General features: G+C 37.1%; 1 annotated feature.

Moving 5' to 3' along the window:
• Positions 9,471–9,640: an enhancer, noted in NCBI's record as "experimental_39831 CRE fragment used in MPRA reporter constructs". NCBI's record gives its function as "activates a minimal promoter by MPRAs in K562 erythroleukemia cells, with activity observed for both the introgressed and non-introgressed 15:54114538 variant alleles {active_cell/tissue: K562}" and the evidence as "EXISTENCE:reporter gene assay evidence [ECO:0000049][PMID:34662402]".

Below are 21,093 nucleotides of genomic sequence, written 5' to 3'. Positions count from 1 at the left end.
GAGTTTAGGGTGCTGAGATTTTCTTTTCCTTGCTCACTATATATCTATTTATTTAAAATAAGCCCACAAGGAAAGCTTGTGGTGTTAAAACTGTGTAGTGTCTGGACCATGGAGGCAAATACAGGAAACTACATAGGTGATAAAATGTGTAGAGCTTAATACACTCCAATTCATACCAATGAATACAAGTACAATGAGGGAATCAAAATAAGATCTTTGGATTGTATAGATGTCTGTATCTTCATTGTGATATTATGCTGTAGTTTTGCAAAATGTTACCAATGGGGGAAAATAGACAACGTGTACAAATGATCTTTTTGCATTATTTCTTACAATTGCATGTGAATCTACAATTATCATAAATTTTTAAAATCTTTAAAAATAGTTTAAAAATCAAGCGACAAGCTGCTAAATAAAATATATTCTATACTCCTACCTTGAAAAATAGGCCTCTTAACTACCTGGAATTCCAGTAAGGGAGGAGACCACCCCTCATAGTGTCTTATGACCAATTTCTGCCTCAAAGAAAAAGTAGGAGTTAAAGAAAAGACAGAAGTGAAATCAGTAGTCAGACAGCCCGGCGCTGCATTCCCAGGCTGGTAGTTAAAGATTGACTCCTGACTTAACTGGTTATGTTATCTATAGATTCCAGACATTGTATGGAAAAGCACTGTGAAAATTCCTATCCTGTTCTGTCCCGTTCTGATTACTGGTGCATGCAGCTCCCCCGTCACGTAGCCACTGCTTGCTCAATCGATCACGACCCTGTCACGCGGACCCCCTTAGAGTTATAAGCCCTTAAAGGGGACAGGCATTGCTCACTCAGGGAGCTCGGTTTTTGGAGACGTGAGTCCACCGATGCTCCCAGCTGAATAAAGCCCTTTCCTTCCACGACTCGGTGTCTGAGGGATTCTTGTCTGCGGCTCGTCCTGCTACACCAGGTTCAAATTTCAGATACCCTGACTTGGAATTTTCCATGGGAACACAGCTGCCTAGGAAAGCTGCCCCATCTCAGAAGCACTCCTATTCTCTTCTCCTCCCTGTTCTCTAAAATGCATGTTTGTGGACACCCACATTTGTGGACAGAACATACAAGCTTCATCTACACTCCTCTTACCTCTCAAATGGAGTCCTTGGCCGCTTCTTGCAGGCTCCAAAACCAGGCTCCAAGTCCTTCAAACATGAAATTCTGAGTCCCACATACTTGGAGTCAGTCTATGGGTCAGAGCGAGGGGCACTGTAGCCTCTGGGTAGCACATCTCCTTTACCTTGCTAACTCTTCACATCATCTGTAGGGACACAGCCAGAAAAGCACCAGGGAAGGGTCCAATGCAGGGTCTCTTGTCAAAGTCTAAGGGGAGTATCAGTCAGTACTACCATTTTATAAATAAGAAAATTGAGTGAAATTATACTTCATGTCACTGATAACTAGTAATATCAGGTTTCCAGCCAGATCTATTAGAGTCCAAGGCCATGTCACAGCAGTTCTAGCACACTCTCCCCTGATGAAAACCTGAATAAAATGCCCATTTTATTGTCTAAGGAGTCCACAAGGGCCTATCTATCTGCTCACAGCTATCCTAATTACTAGCCAGATATACAGTTGCCTTTCTCAGGACTTGTGTCATTCATTTAATGAGGCAGATTATTATTGAAATTGAATTAAATTCAACAGGCATTCATTGAGAACACCACAGTCATTGAGACACGGCTCATTATTTGCAGGACCAGCTCATTAATTTTGATTAATTCAGGTGCCAACTCTACAACATACAAAATAGATGCTAAACGTATACAGATGCATTATGCAGAAGCCATTATCAAGAATAGTGCTTTCACAGGCATTCCTGAGATGTTTCTATGGATTCTGCTCTATTTTTTCATTATTTCCAGAAATCTCTCTCTAGTTCTCAAAAAAAAAAAAAAAAAAAACCCAATCAATTAGAGAGGATGATACACAAAACCCACCCTTCTTTCTCCCAGGTAGGGAGATGGAAAACAAATAGACAAAGAGGAAGATGAACAGTGCAGATAAGTAGAAGTGGGGATAAAATAACAGAATGTTTAGAAATGCTTTCTAATTTGTCAATGACAGTTTTCCCATGACCCTTCATTTCTCAACTTAAAAAAAAAAAGTCAGATATATCTTTGCTCCTTCCAGTCAGAATGCCTCAGGCTGTTCCTGCAGGTGTCCCCAGTATTTCCTGCTTATTGAGTGGTTTAGACAAGATGGAACTGACTCCACCCTGCATGGTGCTCAGTGTGCTGCGTGGACCATTCCAACAGCTGGGGAGAAACAAGTTCCTCTTCGCACCCGGTGTGATAATAAGTGAGATCCCTATGAACAAGCAAGGAAGGAAGCTTCCTGACACAGTGCACCATGGACATTTAGCATGTAACTCTTCTGTTATTTGTGGAAATGAGGTTATAAGAGGAAAATATGTAGACGTGAGAGCATGGAGTTTGGGCGTCCTTTCTGGCAACCCAGAGGCATATTCTTCTGGGTTCTCTTCTGCATTCTATTTGTAAACAGAATTATGTAGGTAAGAAAAATGTTACTTTAGTAGACAGAATCGTAAAAAATAAAGTAAAAAAATATTTTAAGCATCATAAATGTGGAATAAGAAAATGAGATATTTAGGTTAAGCTTGAATGGTTTAGATTCATTTTAAATCAAGTTTTAGTATTTCTTTTCAAATCCTCATCATTAAAAATTCTGCCAATCTATTTAAAGATGAAAATAAAAGAAAATCATTCTTAAATTCAGAGATTTAATTGTCAGAATCCACAAATGTTAAACTATTTGAAAGATGTGAAGAGGATTTCCCTGAAATATCTTTTCCAGTATAAAATATACTGGAAGTGAATGAAATCAGTCAATGACATGAGGTGTATCACAAATAATTGAGTAAGTGGAGAGAAGAGTGGGATAACACCCACAGAAGGGGTCAGAGCAAAGGGAAGAAGCAGAAATGGGAGGAGCATAATAGTTAGGGGTCTTCCAAACCAGTCAGCTGCAGTAGCCAACAATGCCTCCTGCTTTCACACTGATCTGCCACCTTCTATTCTCAATACGCTTCCAACCCAGACGCCCAAGGGCTTCCCGTAATACTTGAAAGGAACCTCAAAGGCTGACCTTACCATGCCCCTGGTCTTGTATGATCTGGCCCCTGGCTATTTTTTTAATTACATTTCCTACTACTGTCTCCCCTAGTTTATTCCACCTGATCCACTTTGATCAGCTTGCTATTCCTCAAATACCTCATGCATGTTTCCATTTCAAGAACTTTGACTTACTCTACCCTCTGCCTGGAATGCCCTTTCCCTAAATAGTCACACAACTACCCCGCTTAATTATTCAAGCATCTATTTAAATGACCCCCTCATCCAAGAGCACTTCCTTGGCCACCCTATCCAAAGTAGCACATATATCCATCTAAGTTGCTTTCTCTCCTTCCATTCTTATTTTTTCTGCATAATGACATTTACTGTTATCATGTTTGTTTATAGTCTGAATCTCATACTGGTTTTAAAAATTATGAAAGCAGGGACTTCATTTAGATTGCCTCCATATCTGCAGTTCCTACAACATACCCAACTTGTGGTAAGCACTCACTAGGATCTGTGACATGAATAAATGAAGTCAGGTGAGTTGGTCACAGTGGAGCATTATGTAGGAGGTAAGTTTGGCTGAATGGGTAAGGTCAAATCATGAAAAAACTTGAATCATAGGATGAGTCTGGATACATACGACACATCGGAGTTTCTGAAGAACAGAGTTCAAGCCCCAGGACCTAGAAAAGTTCCTGACCCACAGCAGGCATTCATTACATGTTTCATGATCACATTATGTCAGATGTTAAACAAAATGGAGAAATTCCCTTTCTGTCCCACAGGAGAAAAAGGAGAATGCACTCACCCAGATTACAGAATTGACATTTTCTTTCTTTCTTTTTTTTTTTTTTCTTGAGATGGAGTCTTGCTCTGTTGCCCAGGCTGGAGTGCAGTGACACAATCTCAGCTCACTACAACCTCCACCTCCTGGGTTCAAGCAACTTCTGGCTAATTTTTGTATTTTTAGCAGATTCAGTGTTTCACCATGTTGGTCAGGCTGGTCTCGAACTCCTGACCTCAAGTGATCTGCCCACCTCGGCCTCCCAAAGTGCTAGGATTACAGGTGTGAGCCACCGTGCCCAGCCAGAATTGACATTTTCTGAATTATTCTTCCCTCCTACAGAATATAGCAGCCTTCTGATATTTCTAATCCACAAAATGTTAGAGCTTTCTTCTTGTTCAGCAGTCTTCTGGGAATTCCATTCTGGGTGAAACAAGATAGCAACTGATGACGAGGGAAAACGGGAGTTTCCCTAAGAGACACTGGCTTAAGTCACATAGCTATCACTGAGGCAGCCAGCATGAGGAACCCATTATAAGTGCCCTCAGAAGACACATTGTGAAAATGAATATCTAATTTCCCTTGGGACAAGCATCTAATTTTCTGTAACATTGTGCCTTCTCACAGATGAAAAGGGTTGCTCTCAGTTACTTGGATCAGTGTTCTCAGATGCTCTAGGAAAAGCACTTTAAATGGTTACTATGACCAGGACAAGATTTTTGAGCCAGTGTGTTGTCTGCATTTTTTTTGTGTGTGACTACAAAGAGTGTTTAGCAACGTTGTAGTTATAAAGAATAAGCATTATTACATGTTAATTTTAAAAGAAAGAAAATCAAGTTGCTATCTATGTACATACATATATTTTTATAACAAATGTGAAAAAATACATGAGGAAAAGCACACTAGGAAATCATCAGCTGGTAGTCTTAAATGATGCTAGCAATGCTTAGTGAATACTTAGTGAATACAGCCAGATGGATTACCTGAATTCTCATTTCATCTCACAACAACCTTATGGTATGGTTACTATTAACATGATCTCCACATTGCAAATAAAGGAACTAAGGCCCAGACAGGTAAAATAGCATTGCCAAGTACATGCTTTTAGTAAATGGCACAGGTGAAATTTGAATCTAGTCAATTAGATCCTAAAGTCTGTGCTCCAAACCATTGCACTGCCAATGGTATGGTATTTTATTCCTTCAACTTCCCCATCTTTGATATGTTTTACTTTTACAATAAAAAAAAAATTCTAGGATTATCCATATTTCTTGTTTGTCATGTAGAAAAATAAAATAGTATTAATGGGCTCATATACCAAGTTCGAAATAATATACAAAATATATCCTAAAGTTACCATGTATTTTACAAAACTCTATCTTGCATGAATAAATACCATACCCTATTTCTTGCTGAATCTGTTTTTTGAGAACAAACAAGTACATATGTTCTCATACAATGACCCGTACCTTAAAAAGGTAGCCTGCTGTGACCGTATCTGCAATCTGAATTGTAATTTTTAAAAGAATTAAGCTAAAAAAAGAAAACCACAGGTGCATAAAGTATCTGATTTGAAAAAAAAAATTAATGATGAAACCATCTTATCTTTTTAAAAATTATTACTCAATTATATTTAAATTTTAAAAAACTTTTCTGGAAAAAACATACTATTTAAAATTATACATTTTTAATGCTATAATTTTCTGAAAGTGATACTGACCCTGTAAGTAGAAAAAATTAAACAAAATGCCATGGTATCCATTGAAACTCTATAACTCTAAGTCTTTTTAGAAAAAAATCTGAAGAGAAAGGTATGTATTAAAATCTGTATCTGAAGTATACTCTAAGAATCAGTGACTGTGAGCCTCATTTTACCAAAGACCCACTTTAGATAGTAACACTCTCCTTCAACTCATTTTCAGCTCATTTAAGGTTTTTTCCCCCTCAGGTTCTGTTTGTTGTTGCCTGATGCTAACAATGTTTTCTTAAAGGTATAAAGGAAATGTTTTCTTCCAACATAATTTTCTGTGCACTGCAGGTCTTTTCTTTTGCCTTCTGGTAACTGACCTAACAGATTTTATCTTTTATTGAGTAATTCCTATGCCATTATTATTAAGTTTTGGTTTGTTTAGAAAAAACTTTGAGATTAAAATTATTTTTAATTAAGGTTATTACACCTGCGTATCTTTCTGTATGTGCTTTTAAAGTCCTTGTGACACTGAGTTACAGGGCTTTGATTCCTAGGTCTAAAAAGGACATCAAGTCCTGGTAAGTCTTAAACACTGACAGCAATGAAAGCCTCATCTTCAGGCTCAGTAGAAGATGCCAATCAAAATAAACTGTGTTCTTGACACACAGGACCAGAAATTAAAGCTATTCAACTCCTCGAGGCTCAGGGACTATTGCAGAAGAGGTGGGTGTGTGAGATTGTAAGGGCCAATTTTGAGAGAGAAAATAATTACATTTTCTCTATAAATTAACCATCAATGTCAAGCACACACTGATACAAGACCAGCATATGGGCCCCTGTGTCAGGTTAACAAGGTTTTCTTGAAGCATTAACTGACTCCTTAATAATGGTTATAAAAGTCTTACGGAAGCTATATCTTATGGTCAAAATTAAAATTTTATAGATTGTTTAGAAAAACAAATTTAATTGGCTTCATCCTGTTGTATTAGGGCTTAGTATTTGGAAAATTAAGTCTCCTCTCTCAAAGAATGAAGGTTTTCACTATTTTTAAAAAAAATCCTTGAGCTATCACTCCAGTTAAATGAATGACTTATCTGACAATGACCTGTGATCCTATGTTGTGATATCAAGTATTTTAACCTTTGATATTTGACAAACTTTCCAAAATCAAATTATAAATTATGTCTTTTTCTGACCTAATTAATCCTTTAAGATATTAGCTTCCCTAAAGTCCAAAAATGAGATATTTGGCTTATTTAGTATAAAAAGTGTACAGGAAGCATTGTCAAATATGAAATGGTGTTTGGTTTTCTTTCGGCTGTAGTCGTATAAATATGTTATTGGTATGTGTTCCAAAATTATGAATAACTCCTGTAATTCTGATATGACTTAGTGTACATTATCCATACTAATCATAATTGTTATGTTAAATTATTGTGTGCCACAGACGTAACAATTTCCTTGTCAATTGTGTCTTTGACAACGGCTGCCCTAAAACATCTTGTCATCTACAGACAGTTGTTTTGTTTTGGTCCACTTTAGAAGGTGGTTTTATAATCAGCTATAAAACTCTAACAGGTGCTATTGAATGCAGGTTTCTGACAAGTTTGGAGACTGTGATATCAGAATAGAGGAAAAATTTTCAGGACTCATGGAGAGCTGAAATGTTCATGAGTATCAAGGAATTAGCTGCATGGGCTGAACTAATAGAAGACAGAAGTGATTTTTAGACTTCTTGCTTAAAACATTGCTGATCCTTTGTTTTGTTTTTCAGAGTCAAGAAAACTTTTATTTTGAGCTATTGACAGCTTTTAACAATTAAGTATGCTCCTGAACAAAATGTGGAGCATATTTGTTTCTCTCTACCTTATTTCTCCAGAATTCAGAAACTATTTGTGAGTATTCTTAACTATGGCAATAGTTATTTGCATAAGTGCAATAAGAATCAGTTTTCATTTGTAACAGAACACAATTGGAGAAACTGCTTATTTTACCAAGGCTTTGACTGGAATGGTGTGATTTCCTTTAAGAAATTAAACTTGACCTATAGAGTTGCCAATAAAAGCCCCTTAGGAAAACTGGCTTCATACCTTGTCTACGCAGTTCCTGTCCCAGTTCCTGTCCTGTGGTAAGTAAAGAATGTCATTTTCTGACAGGCCCAGGAGCCCCAGGTTTTTTGGGGACCACAAGAGGAGTGGAATTCACCCAACTCGTAGATATTTGATGGTACAAATCCATGGCTGGGCTTGGTTTTACAGTAGTCTTATCTGAGATTCCCTCTATGGAACAAAGTTTCATCAAAGCCAATTTAAAAAGCCTATGTGGAAAAAATAATTATTCCTGCTGCACTTTATACAAATAATCTGGCCTAGTATAATAAAGCAAATTGGTCCTACCATGATTTGTCTTTAGTAAAAATGGGAAACTGGAGAGAGAAAAAAATATGTTTCAAAAACTACAGCATACTTGTTGTTACATTCTAGTTTTGCCTAATGTTTTTCAAATTTTATTATTTTCTACACTTTGGACTGAATTCTAATTTTTCCTGGCTATAAGTCTCCAAAATAATGCTTTCAATTTTTTTTTCTTTCTTTACCTTTTTTCCCCATTTTTCCTAGTTTGAAATCACTGGAAACTAAGCCATGCTTTCTTAAATCCTAGCAAACTGAAGCTAGACAACTTAAACTTCAGAAGAAAATAACAACTTATTTATATACATAAGCCGCTTTCATACCTGCCTATTGATATATGGACTTCAGAGCAATGTGGCTATATTAATTTTCTAGGATTGTTCTTTTTGTTGTTGTTGTTTTTCTCCCTTCCTCCCTCTGTTTTCTCTTCACAGGACATGAGACTTCACAAGCTGCTAAAAATGAGCTTTCCTAATAACCTAAAACCTACCCATCTAGGAATAAACTGTCCTAGCCATGAGAGACCAGACCAGAGACTCACTGTCTTCTAAAATGCTTCCTCCAAATATTTTTAAAAGAAAAGGGGGGAAATTTGATGGGAAAATAAATCTTGGGGCCCCCAAATCACTAAGCTAAAGGGAATAGTCAAGCTGGGAACTGCTTAGGGCAAACCTGCCTGCCATTCTATTCAAAGTCATCCCTCTGCTCACTAAGATAGATGCATATCTGATTGCTTCCTTTGGAAAGCCTAATCAGATACTTAAAAGAATGAAGCTATTTTTCTCTCACCTACCTGTGACCTGGAAGCTGCCTCCCTGCTTTGAGTTGTCCCACCTTTCTGGACAGAACCAATGTACATCTTACATATATTGATTGATGTCTCATGTCTCCTTAAAGTGTATAAAACCAAGCTGTGCCCCAACCACCTTGGACACATGTCATTAGGACCTCCTGAGGCTGTGTCATGGGTGCACATCCTCAACGTTGGCAAAATAAACTTTCTAAATTAACTGAGACCTGTCTCAGATATTCAGGGTTCACAAAGGAAAGCCATTTTTGGGGTGAGTTCTGGCAAAACAGCCAAGAGATATTACACACTACTTCTGTCCATGAGTTAGCCTGTGTCTCAATTGCATGTTTTGCATGATCTTTTTAAGTAAGGAGTCAAATAATTTTCTAAGTTTATTTTCTTCATGTCAATATTATATAAAAAAGAAGGTACACATATATTTAAGATAAGATGGAGGGGTTTTCTTTTTCTTAAATATTTATTCAGCATTGGAAAAGATACATCTCATTTATTGTTGCTAAAAGATGATTGGATACTATAAAATCATACTTGTTTATTTTACTAGGTGAAATTTTCCTGTTTGTCATTCAGTCACTTACCTACTCTTTTATTTATTCCCATGATTCATTTATTAGATTTCAATTAACAGATTTAAATGTAATAATCTATAGATGAAAAGAGTCAAGCTCTGTGATATGGTTTGGCTGTGTCCCCACCCAAATCTCATCTTCAGTTGTAGTTCCCATAATCCCTACATGTGGTGAAAGGAACCCAGTGGGAGATCATTGTATCATGGGGGCAGTTCCCCCATGCTATTCTCATGATAGTAAGTTCTCACGAGATCTGATGGTTTTATAAGGGCCTTCCTCCTTCAGTTGGGACTCATTCTCTTCCCTGCTGTCCTGTGAAGAGATGCTTTCCACCAAGATTGTAAGTTTGCTGAGGCTAACCAAGACATGTGGAATGGTGAGTCAATTAAACCTCTTTCCTTTATAAACTACCCAGTCTCAGGTATGTCTTCATAGCAGTATGAAAACTAACTAGTACAGTCTGTAAAATATTTGAAGAGATTTACTCTGAGCCAAATATGAGTGACCAATGGCCCATGACACAGCCCTCAGGCGATCCTGAGAACATGGACGCAAGGTGGTCAGGCTACACCTTGGCTTTATACATTTTAGGAAAACATAAGACTTCAATCAATACATGTAGGAGGTACATTGGTTTGGTCCGGAAAGGTGGTGGTGGGGTGGCTTCCAGGTCAGAGGTAGATTCAAATATTTTCTGATTGACAATTGGTTAAAAGAGTTAAGTATTGTCTAAAGATTTAAAATCAACAGAAAGAAATGTCAGGGTTAAGATAATGTGCTGTGTGGACCAAGGTTTTATTGCAGATGAAGCCTCCAGGTAGCAGGCTTCAGAGAATAGACTGTAAATGTTTCTTGCCAGACTCAGACAGTCTATCAGTCTTAAGGTCTGTGTTGATATTAATGCTGGTCAAGTGGGCCCGAATTCCAAAAGGGAGGAGAGTGTAATGAGGTATGTTCAACTCCTTCCTGTCACAGCCTGAACTAGTTTTCCAGGTTAACTTTGGAATGCCCTTGGCTGAGAAGAAGGGTCCATTTAGATGGTTGGGGGACTTAGAATTTTATTTTTGGTTTACAATCAAATGTTACAGATTCTTCTGTAAATAGTGTATTATTCATAAGCTCATACTTAATTCATTCTCTTATTGCTGCTGTTAATTTCTACAAAGTTGATTAAAGTCCTCTCTAATATCCATTGAAGTACAGGTGTAGAACAAAATGTTCCCAAATTACAATCCAGAAAGTTATGCTCTGAAATATAGAAGTAAAGTTTTGTTTAATTAGGTTGAATTCCACTCTCTCAGATGTTGATAAGAATGTGCTTGGTTTGTCAAATGCATAATTACAGATTTAATAGTTTTTGACTATGAAATAAAATTACATAGGTAACCACATACAAGAATTCTTAAGAATTCATCTCTTAAGATGAATTATTAAGCTTCTTAAGGCATATTTGGACAACCTATATAATTGACATTTGCCTATGCAAAAAATAATCCTAAAGCACACATTAGGGATGAAACTAATGCTGAACTCTGAACTCCATCTTATTCTAGCTATAAAAAAAGTTAATCTCTAGAAATATGGTCTAATAAAAAAAAGTCCCATCCATCTCACTAAGAGACAATATTACAAAATATTTTGCTTATTATCTTTAACAATTAATTGGATATCTTTAGAAGAAATATGACCTTTTTATTTTAAAATATTATTTTTTTAATGCCAGGAATTTTTCTCCAATATTTACTCTTAGTTGTCCATTTTAAATTTCTAGGTCATTTGAACAAAATGTGTTAAGAACATGCCAGTAAAGATTTTTAATATTATTCTAAGTCAATGGAAAGTCTTTAAAGTTTTATCATGAGATTACTGAATTAATGCAATTCATATTTTTTAAAAAATCATGATGACTGATATATGGGGAAAGAACAGGGGAAGAGGTTAAAGAGTGAAAGCAGACAGGCTGGTTGAAAGGAAACTGTAGTCTTTATAAGAAAGGATGGTGTTTTGGACTGGGGTGGTGGCTACAGAGATGAAAAAAGGGAGAGGATATAGCATATGTTTTAGAGGTAGAAACAACAGAATTTACTGATGGGTTTGTTATGGACCATGTAAGTCAATGACTCCTAGATTTTTGTTTCTGTTTTATTATATTTTGTTTTGTGTTTTGATTCAGCAATTGAATGTAATGGTGTCATTCATTCTATTAAGAAGCCTGGGGGAAGGGCAGATTGAGAGATAACAAGAGTCCTATTTCTACATATTAAATGTGAGTTGCTTATCAGACATTTAATTGAGGTTTCAAGTAGGCTATTGTATATACAAGTTTGAAACTAATAGAAGAGATCAGAGGTGTAGAAATTTAGATTCATCAATATCACACGGTACTTAAATCCACAGGACTAAGAGAAACCACCTATGGAATGACAATAAATAAACAGACAACTCTTGACTCCGCCCAGAAGCAATCCATCATTTTGAGGTCAAGTAGAAAAGGTGGAACCTGAAAGGAAACGGAGAAGTGGTGGTGAGGGAAGTAGGAGAAAAACCAGGAGAGTATAGCGTCACAAGAAGCAAGAGATGAAAGCTTTTCCAGACACATTCATTAAAGGTATGATCTTAACCCTACTTTCTATTGGACTGTACCTGGAATGTGCCATTTGTAACAACAACAAAAATCTTTTAAGTAGGAGATTGTAACAAAGAATAATTTTTCAACGTGAGAAAAAAAAGGGAAAAAAGACATAGTTTGGGTGATGATTAAAGGGACATTCAAACAAAAATAGAATCCTATGCACCCCCCTAACCGAATGAATGAGCCCCTCTGGGCCACAGGAACCTGAAAAACTGAATTTCTAGCCATGACAGGAAGGGACATTGGACATGCCTCATTATACCGCTTCCCTTTTGGACTTCAGTCATAACTGACCACCAGTATTAACGTTAAAATGGAGATCATAAAACTGACAAAATAGACGCTTTGTGGCAATAAGATACCAAATTCCAAATTGACTCTGGTATAGCATCACATGACAGATAGCAGACCCTGAAAGAAATCAAAATGTTTTATCCCAAAATATATTTCTTTAACGTATTTTGAAATGGCCCTGCAAAGCTGTCCTTTCCGGAGGAAGTTTACTTCTGTAAAGAATCTCCATTAATGCAGCCAGGACTTTCTCCATCTAGGAGAGACTAAGAGTCTGATGCCTTTAAAGGTCTGAAAAGAAATATTTATGATTTTTTTCTCTTTGACGGCTGCTACCTAGAAGCTTCATCTACATAACGAAACAAGAACCTTGTCTTCTTCAGCCTCCTTATCTTAACTCAAGAATTTCTTTCTATTGACTTCAAGCCTTTAGACAAAGCTTAACTCTTTGAACTAATTGCCAATTAGAAAGTCTTTGAACCCACTTATGACCTGTAAGCCTACCCTACTTCTCCCACCCTACCTCCAATTCAAGATGTCCCACCTTTTTGGTCTGAACCAATGTATTGATTTAAATATTTGCTTATAATATTGCTCTCCATAAAATGTATAAAACCAAACTGTAACTCAATCATCAACCACCTCAGGCACCCTTTCTCAGGACCTCTTGAGACTGTTCCTTGGGCCACAGTTGCTTGTATTGGTTCAGAATAAATCTGTTCAAATATTTTACAGAGTTTTTTTTCTTTTCTCCATCAACAGAGAGTTAACCTCTTTATTTATTAACTTAGTATTTATGCACCTATAACTGTGTGATTTTCTACCATTTAGGGGAACGGAGAGCAATTAAGAGGTCAAGTAAGTTGTTCCCAGAACTCTCAGAGGCCATAATCTTGAAGAACAAACCTAAAGGATCCTTTTTCCCCTACACAGCAGTAGTTACTTTAGCTCATGAATAGGCCAAGAAATGCCAAATTTAACATTCAGAAACATGAGAACAAAGCAAATCATAAAAAGCAACAACATATGAGTGAGATGACAGTAGTGCTTCCTCTCTCTCTTCACCTCCCCACTCAATTACCATAAATATTTGCATGAAGTAACTAGACAGTAAATACTGTAAAGACAAATGCACATTTAAAATCAGACTCTTACTCATTTTGAAAATAAGAAAAAATACCTCTTTCTCTCCGTTTACTTTGAGCATTTACTTTAGAAAACTTATTATTGCAAGTTCTTTCTCCTCTCTTTGAAAGGTATATAAATTCTTTTGAAGACTAAATTGGCATTTTGTCAGCTATGTAATCTAGAAATATCTTTCTCAAGTCCCTGGTAGCCATTTCTTTGAAATGTAAACATCAAGGAGGATAGTACCTACATCTCCCAGTCTTTGGGGTAGGCTTAAGTCTGACTTAGATGGGCACCTTGCTCCAAGTTGCAAAACTATTTCCTGTCCTAAAGATATAAGAAGTTTGAATTTCCTCTGGATAAAGCAAATTAACTAGCACAGTTAATTGTACCCAAATAACAGGTACAATTATGGTAACCTATGTGTGACATACAGCGCTATCAAGTCCTCTTACTTGAGTTATTGTTCATCTTGAAAACATGCATACAATGGGTCCTGTCTGCTTGGCTGTATATAAGGGTGAGCAATGTCTTAGTGGATTGCCTGTGATACCCATTACATTATGTTTCAATGTTTTCAATATTAAAAATGTTTTCTTTTCCTATTACCTTTGTAGAGATGATTTCTAGATAAGGAGTTTTTGTTTTTAGTTATATTTCCCCAACAATACCCATTTACTAAGTTAGCCATCTGCCTTAATTACAATTAAAAACAAAAAGTTCTATTTGTGAAAAGTGTTTTCTACCAATGATAAAGGAAAAATCTTAAAAACTGCTAGGGAAGCTATATTATATAGAAGAAAACTTTGTGAATTTTCAATGCGTTGATCCTAACCAAACAACTTTTCTTATTGTTTTTCCAAAGTAATTAGATGATATGGAAATGAGTATATTATATAATGAGTTGAATTACATAGCAGAATAAAGACATTTAAATCAGGAAAAAAATGCATTTTAAATAAAGTCAATTACATTTGACAATTAAACAAATGTGTTGAGTACTTCCTGAGTTCCAGTTGCTATGCAGGTAATGGGCTAGCCAAAGGGAATGCGACTGTTGGGTGCCGCGGCTCACGCCTGTAACCCCAGCACTTTGGGAGGCTGAGGTGGGCGGATCACTTGAGGTCAGGACCAAAGAGAATGAGACAGTCTCTGTTCCAAGGGTACTCAGGATTTAGCTTGGAAGAGAACTATCACATCTTTAATTAATTTTGTATATATAAATAGTAATAAGCAGCAATGTCTTAGCTCTTGGATAGATGATTTGTGATTCTATATACAGTTGCTTCCAGGTATTTTGCTTTAATTTCATATTTTTAATGTTTTTCCAATTGTGATATAAAGGGAGACCAAAACACTAAGTTCTAAGGAGGAACTTAAAATATAAAAATTTCTATGTGTTTTAGCCATGGATGAGAATATTTTTTAATAGACTGAAAATCTAGGACAAGAGTCAGCAATATTTTCCTAATGGAAAATTTAAAAAGAAAATCTAATTCCAAGGCAGGTCAAATTCAATTCTTTGCCCATAGGCAGTGGTAAAACACTGGGTGAAATATTAATATAACAAAAAGATTATCCAGGTCTTCTGTTTGATCTCGTGGCCCCAAAATGCATCCAATCAAGTTGACTTCCTATTCCAAACAAGATTTTTTTTTTCATTTTGTCAAGAATGAAACCATGTTTTGGAAAACTGTGTACTGAGCTACAGCCACAATTGGTAGATGTGGACTTCCTAGATTGTTTTATTCTCTGTACCTGAAAAGCCATGTCTGTAGCCCACCTCATTTCACATCACAGCTGTAGTTCTACACGTTTAAGTGCAGGACAGAATGGTCTTTGTAGTCATTCAGACCTAGGTTTAATTTCTCTTCTGCCCTTTGTTAACCTATGAGGATTTTAAGTAACATTTCCAGATCTCAAGCTCTTCAATTATGGAATGGGTGTAAAATTTACAATTCTATTAAGATAATTAAGAAAAGATAAAATTTATAAAACATGATTAAATATGTAAAATCTCTGGTATGAAGCAGAAAAACATTATGTATTTCCTTTTGCTGTCTTGAAAATCCTAAAAATTCAGTATAGGCTACAAAAGCTGTTCTCAAATCTTTTGGTTTCATGACTCTATACACTAAAAATTATTGATGAAGACCAGGTGCCATGGCTCTTGACTGTAACCCCAGCTACTCAGGAGGCTGAGGCAGGAAAATAGCTTCAACCTGGGAGGCAGAGGTGGCAATGAGCCAAGATCGCATCACTGCAGTCCAGCCTGGGCAACAGAGCAAGACTCTGTCTCAAAAAAAAAAAAAAAAGAAACTAAATACTTTGCCACATATTGAAACGTTAGATAATTTTATTTATAGATAACTCTTACATAATGATAATAAGAACATTATCCCCAATTAATGAATATTAGTAAAATAATCATTGCTCTAAATATTAAAAGTTTTCTCTTTGAAAAATATTTAAATTTTCACCACTTCGAATGTTTTACTATCTCATGATAAGTCAAATTCACTTCATTTCATGAGTTCCCTGCCCACCATATGTCATTGGCCAATACATCAGAAAGAAAGATGAATAGGAATAGCTCTGGTTTTCAGGCAGAAAACCTTGAAGTATGTCCCTGCTCCATCACCATGCTCTCTTGAGCATGTTACCTAAACTTTCTGAATTTCTTTTTGACTAGTGGTTGGAGGGAAATAGAGGAAAACATGTTCTGTCCCACGTGTGGATCTTTGGAGAGCATGGAGAAGAACAATCTTAGAAAGGGAGACACAAGTGAGATCAGGGCTTCAGCAGGAAGCCAAAAAAATGGAGCCAGAGTAAGAAAAAGAAATGTTACTTATTTACAGAAATTTCTATTAGAGCCCTTTCCCCATTTTTAAACTTCGTTGGGTTCTTGTTGTTGTTGTTGTTGTTGTTGTTGACGTTACTAAGTTGTAGGAGTTTTTTTGTTTGTTTGTTTTTGTTTTTGGCCCTTAGCTCCTTATTAAATATATGGTTTGTAAATATTTTCTCTCATTCAACTTTTTAGTTTACAGCAATCCCATTTGTATATTTTGGTTTTGTTTGTCTCTGCTTTTGGTATCATATCCAAGAAATCATTGCCAACACCAATGTCAAGAAACTTTACCCTATTTGTTCTTCCGGTAGTTTTATAATTTCAGTTTTTACATTTAAGCCTTTAATTCATTTTGTCTTTATTTTTGTGTATGGTATAAAAATAGGTGTCCAATTTTATAATTTTGCACGTAGATAACTTGTTTTCCCAGCACCATTTATTGAAAAGACTCTCCTTTCCCTCAGTGTATGGCCAGTAAATACATGAAAAGGTGCTCAACATCACCAATAATCAGGGAAATGAAAACAAAAACCACACAAGATATCATCTCACACCTGTTAGTATGACCATTATAAAAAAAAAAGATAATAACCATTGGTAAGGATGTGGAGAAAAGGGAATCCTTGTAAAATAGTGCAATCAAAAAGAATATGAAGGTTCTTCCAAAAGTTAAAAACAGAATTACCATAGGACCTAGCAATCCCACTTGTGCGTATATATGTAAAATATTAAAATAAAGATCTTGATAAGATATCTGCAGTCCTACATTTATTGCAGTGTTAGTTACAATAGCAAAGCTATTGTAGAAAGCCAAGCTTGGAGAAAGAAAGCATAGTATAATACAATGGAATATTAGCTTTTGAAAAGAAGGAAATCCTGCCATTTGTGACAAAACATGGATGAATCTAGAGAACATTATTCTAAGTGAAATAAGACAGCCACTGAGGGACAAATAAAGTGTGATTCCACTTATGTGAGTTATCTAAAATAGTCATAACCACAGAAAAAAACAGACGGTAGAATGAAGGGTACCAGAGGCTGGCGGGAGTGGGAAATTGAGAGTTGCCTTTCAATGGGAATAAAGTTTCAGTCATGCTTGATGAATAAGTTCTAGAGATCTGCTGTACAACACAGAACATATAGTTACCAATACTGTATAGCGCACTTAAAAATTTGTTAAGGAAGTGCATCTCATGTTAGGTGTCCTTACAACAACAACAACAAACAACAAAACAAAACAAAGAGAAACAAGGAAACTTTTAGAGATGGTAGTTATATCTATTACTTGATTGTAGTGATGACTTCACTGGTGTATGCTTATGTCCAGGCTCATCAAATTATGCGTATGTTAAATATGTACAGTTTTTTTGTTGTTGTTGTTTTTATTTTTTTGGTTTAAAAGTTAAAGGTCAATTAATCTGTTTGTTTTTTAATAGAAAAAGAAAGAAAGACAGGAAGAAAGACAAGCAAGCAAGCAAGCAAGCAAGCAAGAAAACTGAGCCATCCACCACTCTCTCTGCCAACAAGAATTCTCAGATGGGCCAGGCACAGTGGCTCATGCCTGTAATTCCAGCACTTTGGGAGGCTGAGGCAGGACGATCACTCAAGACCAGGAGCTCAAGACCAGCCTGGGCAACATAGTGAAACCCTATCTCCACCAAAAATAAAATTAGCCCAGGAATGATGTCACTTTACTGTAGTCCCATCTATTTGGGAGGCTGAGGGAAGAGGATACTTGAGCCCAGGAGTTCAAGACTGCAGGGAGCTATGATTGCACCACTGCACTCCAGCCTGGGTGACAGAGCAAGACCCCGTCTCAAAGAAAACAAAAAAGAATTCTCAGACAGGCTGGGTACAGTGGCTCACGCCTGTAATCCTAGCACTCTGGGATGCCGAGGAGGGTGGATCACTTGATCCCAGGAATTCGAGACCAGCCTGGCCATCGTAGTGAAACCCTATCTCTATTAAAATACAAAAATTAGCCAGGGCATGGTGGCACACACCTGTACTCCCAGCTACTTCCAAGGCTGAGGCGGGAGAATCACTTGAACCTGGGAGGTGGAGGTTGGAATGAGCTGAGATTGTGCCACTGCACTCCAGCCTGGGCGAAAGATCAAAGCTCTGTCTTAAAAAAAAAGAAAGAAAAAAAGAAAAAGAATTCTCAGGCAGATGTTTTCTCACTCTGCATGGGATGGGATTTTCTTTTTTTCTTTTTTCTTTTATAGAGACAAAGTCTCACTATGTTGTCCAGGCTGGTCTTGAACCCCTGAGTTCAAGCAATCCTCCTGCCTTGACCTCCCAAAGTGTTGGGATTACAAGGCGTGAGCCATGGCACCCAACCAGGTTGGGATTTTCTATCAATCAGGGGCAAATCTCTCAGAAAACAAAGAAGACTTTAACTCATATTTGGATCATATATATAAAGTGCCTGACATACGGTAGATGCTACATAAGTTTTGGTTCTTTATCCACACTTAATTATTTTGAAACAGGGTCTCTGTTTTACAGGCTGGAGTGCAGTGGTACTCTGTTGCCCAGGCTGGAGTGCCAGTGGTACAATCTCTGCTCACTGTAGTCTCCACCTCCTGGGCTCAGGTAATTCTTCCACCTCAGCCTTCCGAGTAGCTGGGATTACAGGCGCGCGCCACTGTGCCCGGCTGTAAACAATTAAAATATCAAAGTACACGGTTTGGAAGATAGTAGAAAATCTCTGATGAGAAAGGGCAGTTCTGGTTTGTTATTATAGAGTGTATGAGCACTCACACACGCCCATACACCAATTAAAGCTCACAATAGATGAATCCTTAAAAGAAGGGGAAATTAGAGCAGAATAAAAGGATGCTAATTGTTGACAGTGAAAAATGTTATTTGTAATAATAGAGACTAGTAAAAGCAAAACACATGTTGCTTGTTTGTGAGACCACCCAGCAGTCTGACTTGATTGGAAGTTGTGTCAATGGTCCTCCATCAAAGACTATCACCGTGAATGATGTCTAAATAGATGTTTCACTGAAATTAAGAGAAGCCTTATGTGATCTGCAGAATGGCCATGTACTTTAGGTTATTTGCAAAAGTTTTGTAAATTGAATTGTGAATTTAACTGAGAGTACTTTTAAAACTATAACTAAGCAGTGAAAGGAAAGTTGAATTGACAGTGTTATCTAGAAAGGTGCTGCCTCTCTCAGGTAAGCAGGGATTTGGAGAAACATAAAGACTTGGGTTTTATTGAGGACACATGGACATAAACATGGGAACAATAGACACCATGGAATACTACAGGGTGGAGGGGTGGGTTAGAAATCTACCTGTCAGGTACTATGCTCACTATCTCGGTAATTTTTGAGATTCCTACTCCATACCTCAGCACCAAGCAATATTCCCATGCAACAAATCTGCACATGCACCCACTGCATCTAAAATAAAAGTTGAATTAATAAAATCAAAAAAATAAAGGCCGGGTGTGGTAGCTCACGCCTGTAATCCCAGCACTTTAGGAGGCCGAGGTGGCTGTATCACCTGAGGGCAGGACTTCGAGACCAGCCTGGCCAACATGGTGAAACTGTGTCTCTACTAAAAACACAAAAAATCAGCCGGGCATGGTGGCACTCACCTGTAATCCCAGCTACTCCAGAGGCTGAGGCAGAAGAATCGCTTGAACCCAGGAGGCAGAGGTTGCAGTGAGCCGAGATCATTGCACTCCAGCCTGGGCAACAAAAGAGAAACTCCGTCTCACATATATAAGGAAATAAACCTTGGTTTTTTTTTTTCCAATCCCACCTGTCCCGGCCCCTATTTAAGACTTAATCTATCATCAGTTTATATATGCACTGTCAAAAATAACAAACAAGGAAGTCTAGCTCTTTTGTTTTCTATGGCTCTTAAGAAGTCAGGGTGACATCTGGTGGACAGACAGTCTTAAGGTATCTATCAAGACAGTATAAATTTCTTTCTGATTCCCACTTTAAAAGTTCTCAAAGAGTCAAAAATTTAAAAAGGAAGTTGTGCCTCAAGTGGACAGAAAACATGACTCTTAACCCCAAACACAAACTATTCAAAGTGGATCCTCACAATTAAATAGTTGGATCCAGAGATACTGCTAATGCTGTAAATGCACATATACAAGATGATGCTTGGCTCTGAATAAAAAGAAAGATTTGTGCTTTTTTTGCTAAAGACCAATTTTTAGAGGATTTAATTGTGACTCTCCTATAAAACGAATTGTGTCAAACATTTTAGTTAACTCTTTTAGTCATCTAAAGATAAGGAAGACATTCAAATGCACAAATATAAAATACATGCTAAGCTCATGAAACCACCAACAGTAAAGTATGACGAAAGTGTAAGGTGCCAGATGGGAAAGCTGAATTCAGGAAAGGTCTATGCAGCATAACTGAAGCCAAATCATAAAAAAATCTTGCAAATCAATAGGAGATCAGATGCTTTTTTAAAGAAAATGGAAAGCCATTGTGATTTTAAGCAGAAGAATGACATAATCTAACTTGTGCCACAGAAAATTAATCTGGCACTCGTGGAGCATGGATTAAAAGTTGGAGAAAGACAGAAGGCAGGATCCAGGTTAAGAGGCTGGCACAGTATTCCAGGTGAGAAATAATGAAGAGCTAACATAAGCAGCAGCATGGAGAGGAGAGGGATGGAGACACATTTGAGGCGTCTATGGAAGCTGGGGCTCTCTAACCTCACAAACCTGCGAGGGCAGATTGAGTTACATGTACCCTTATCTTCTAATCTTACTAGCTCCAAGTGCCACCTGCAGAAGTGTTGTACCTGAATATAGTCTCACTGGGGCCTCCAAATGTT

This window comes from Homo sapiens, chromosome 15, assembly GCF_000001405.40.
Source record: "Homo sapiens chromosome 15, GRCh38.p14 Primary Assembly".
NCBI lineage: Eukaryota > Metazoa > Chordata > Mammalia > Primates > Hominidae > Homo > Homo sapiens.
Note: the sequence above shows the minus strand (reverse complement) of the source record. Positions and strands in the feature narration are given on the sequence as shown.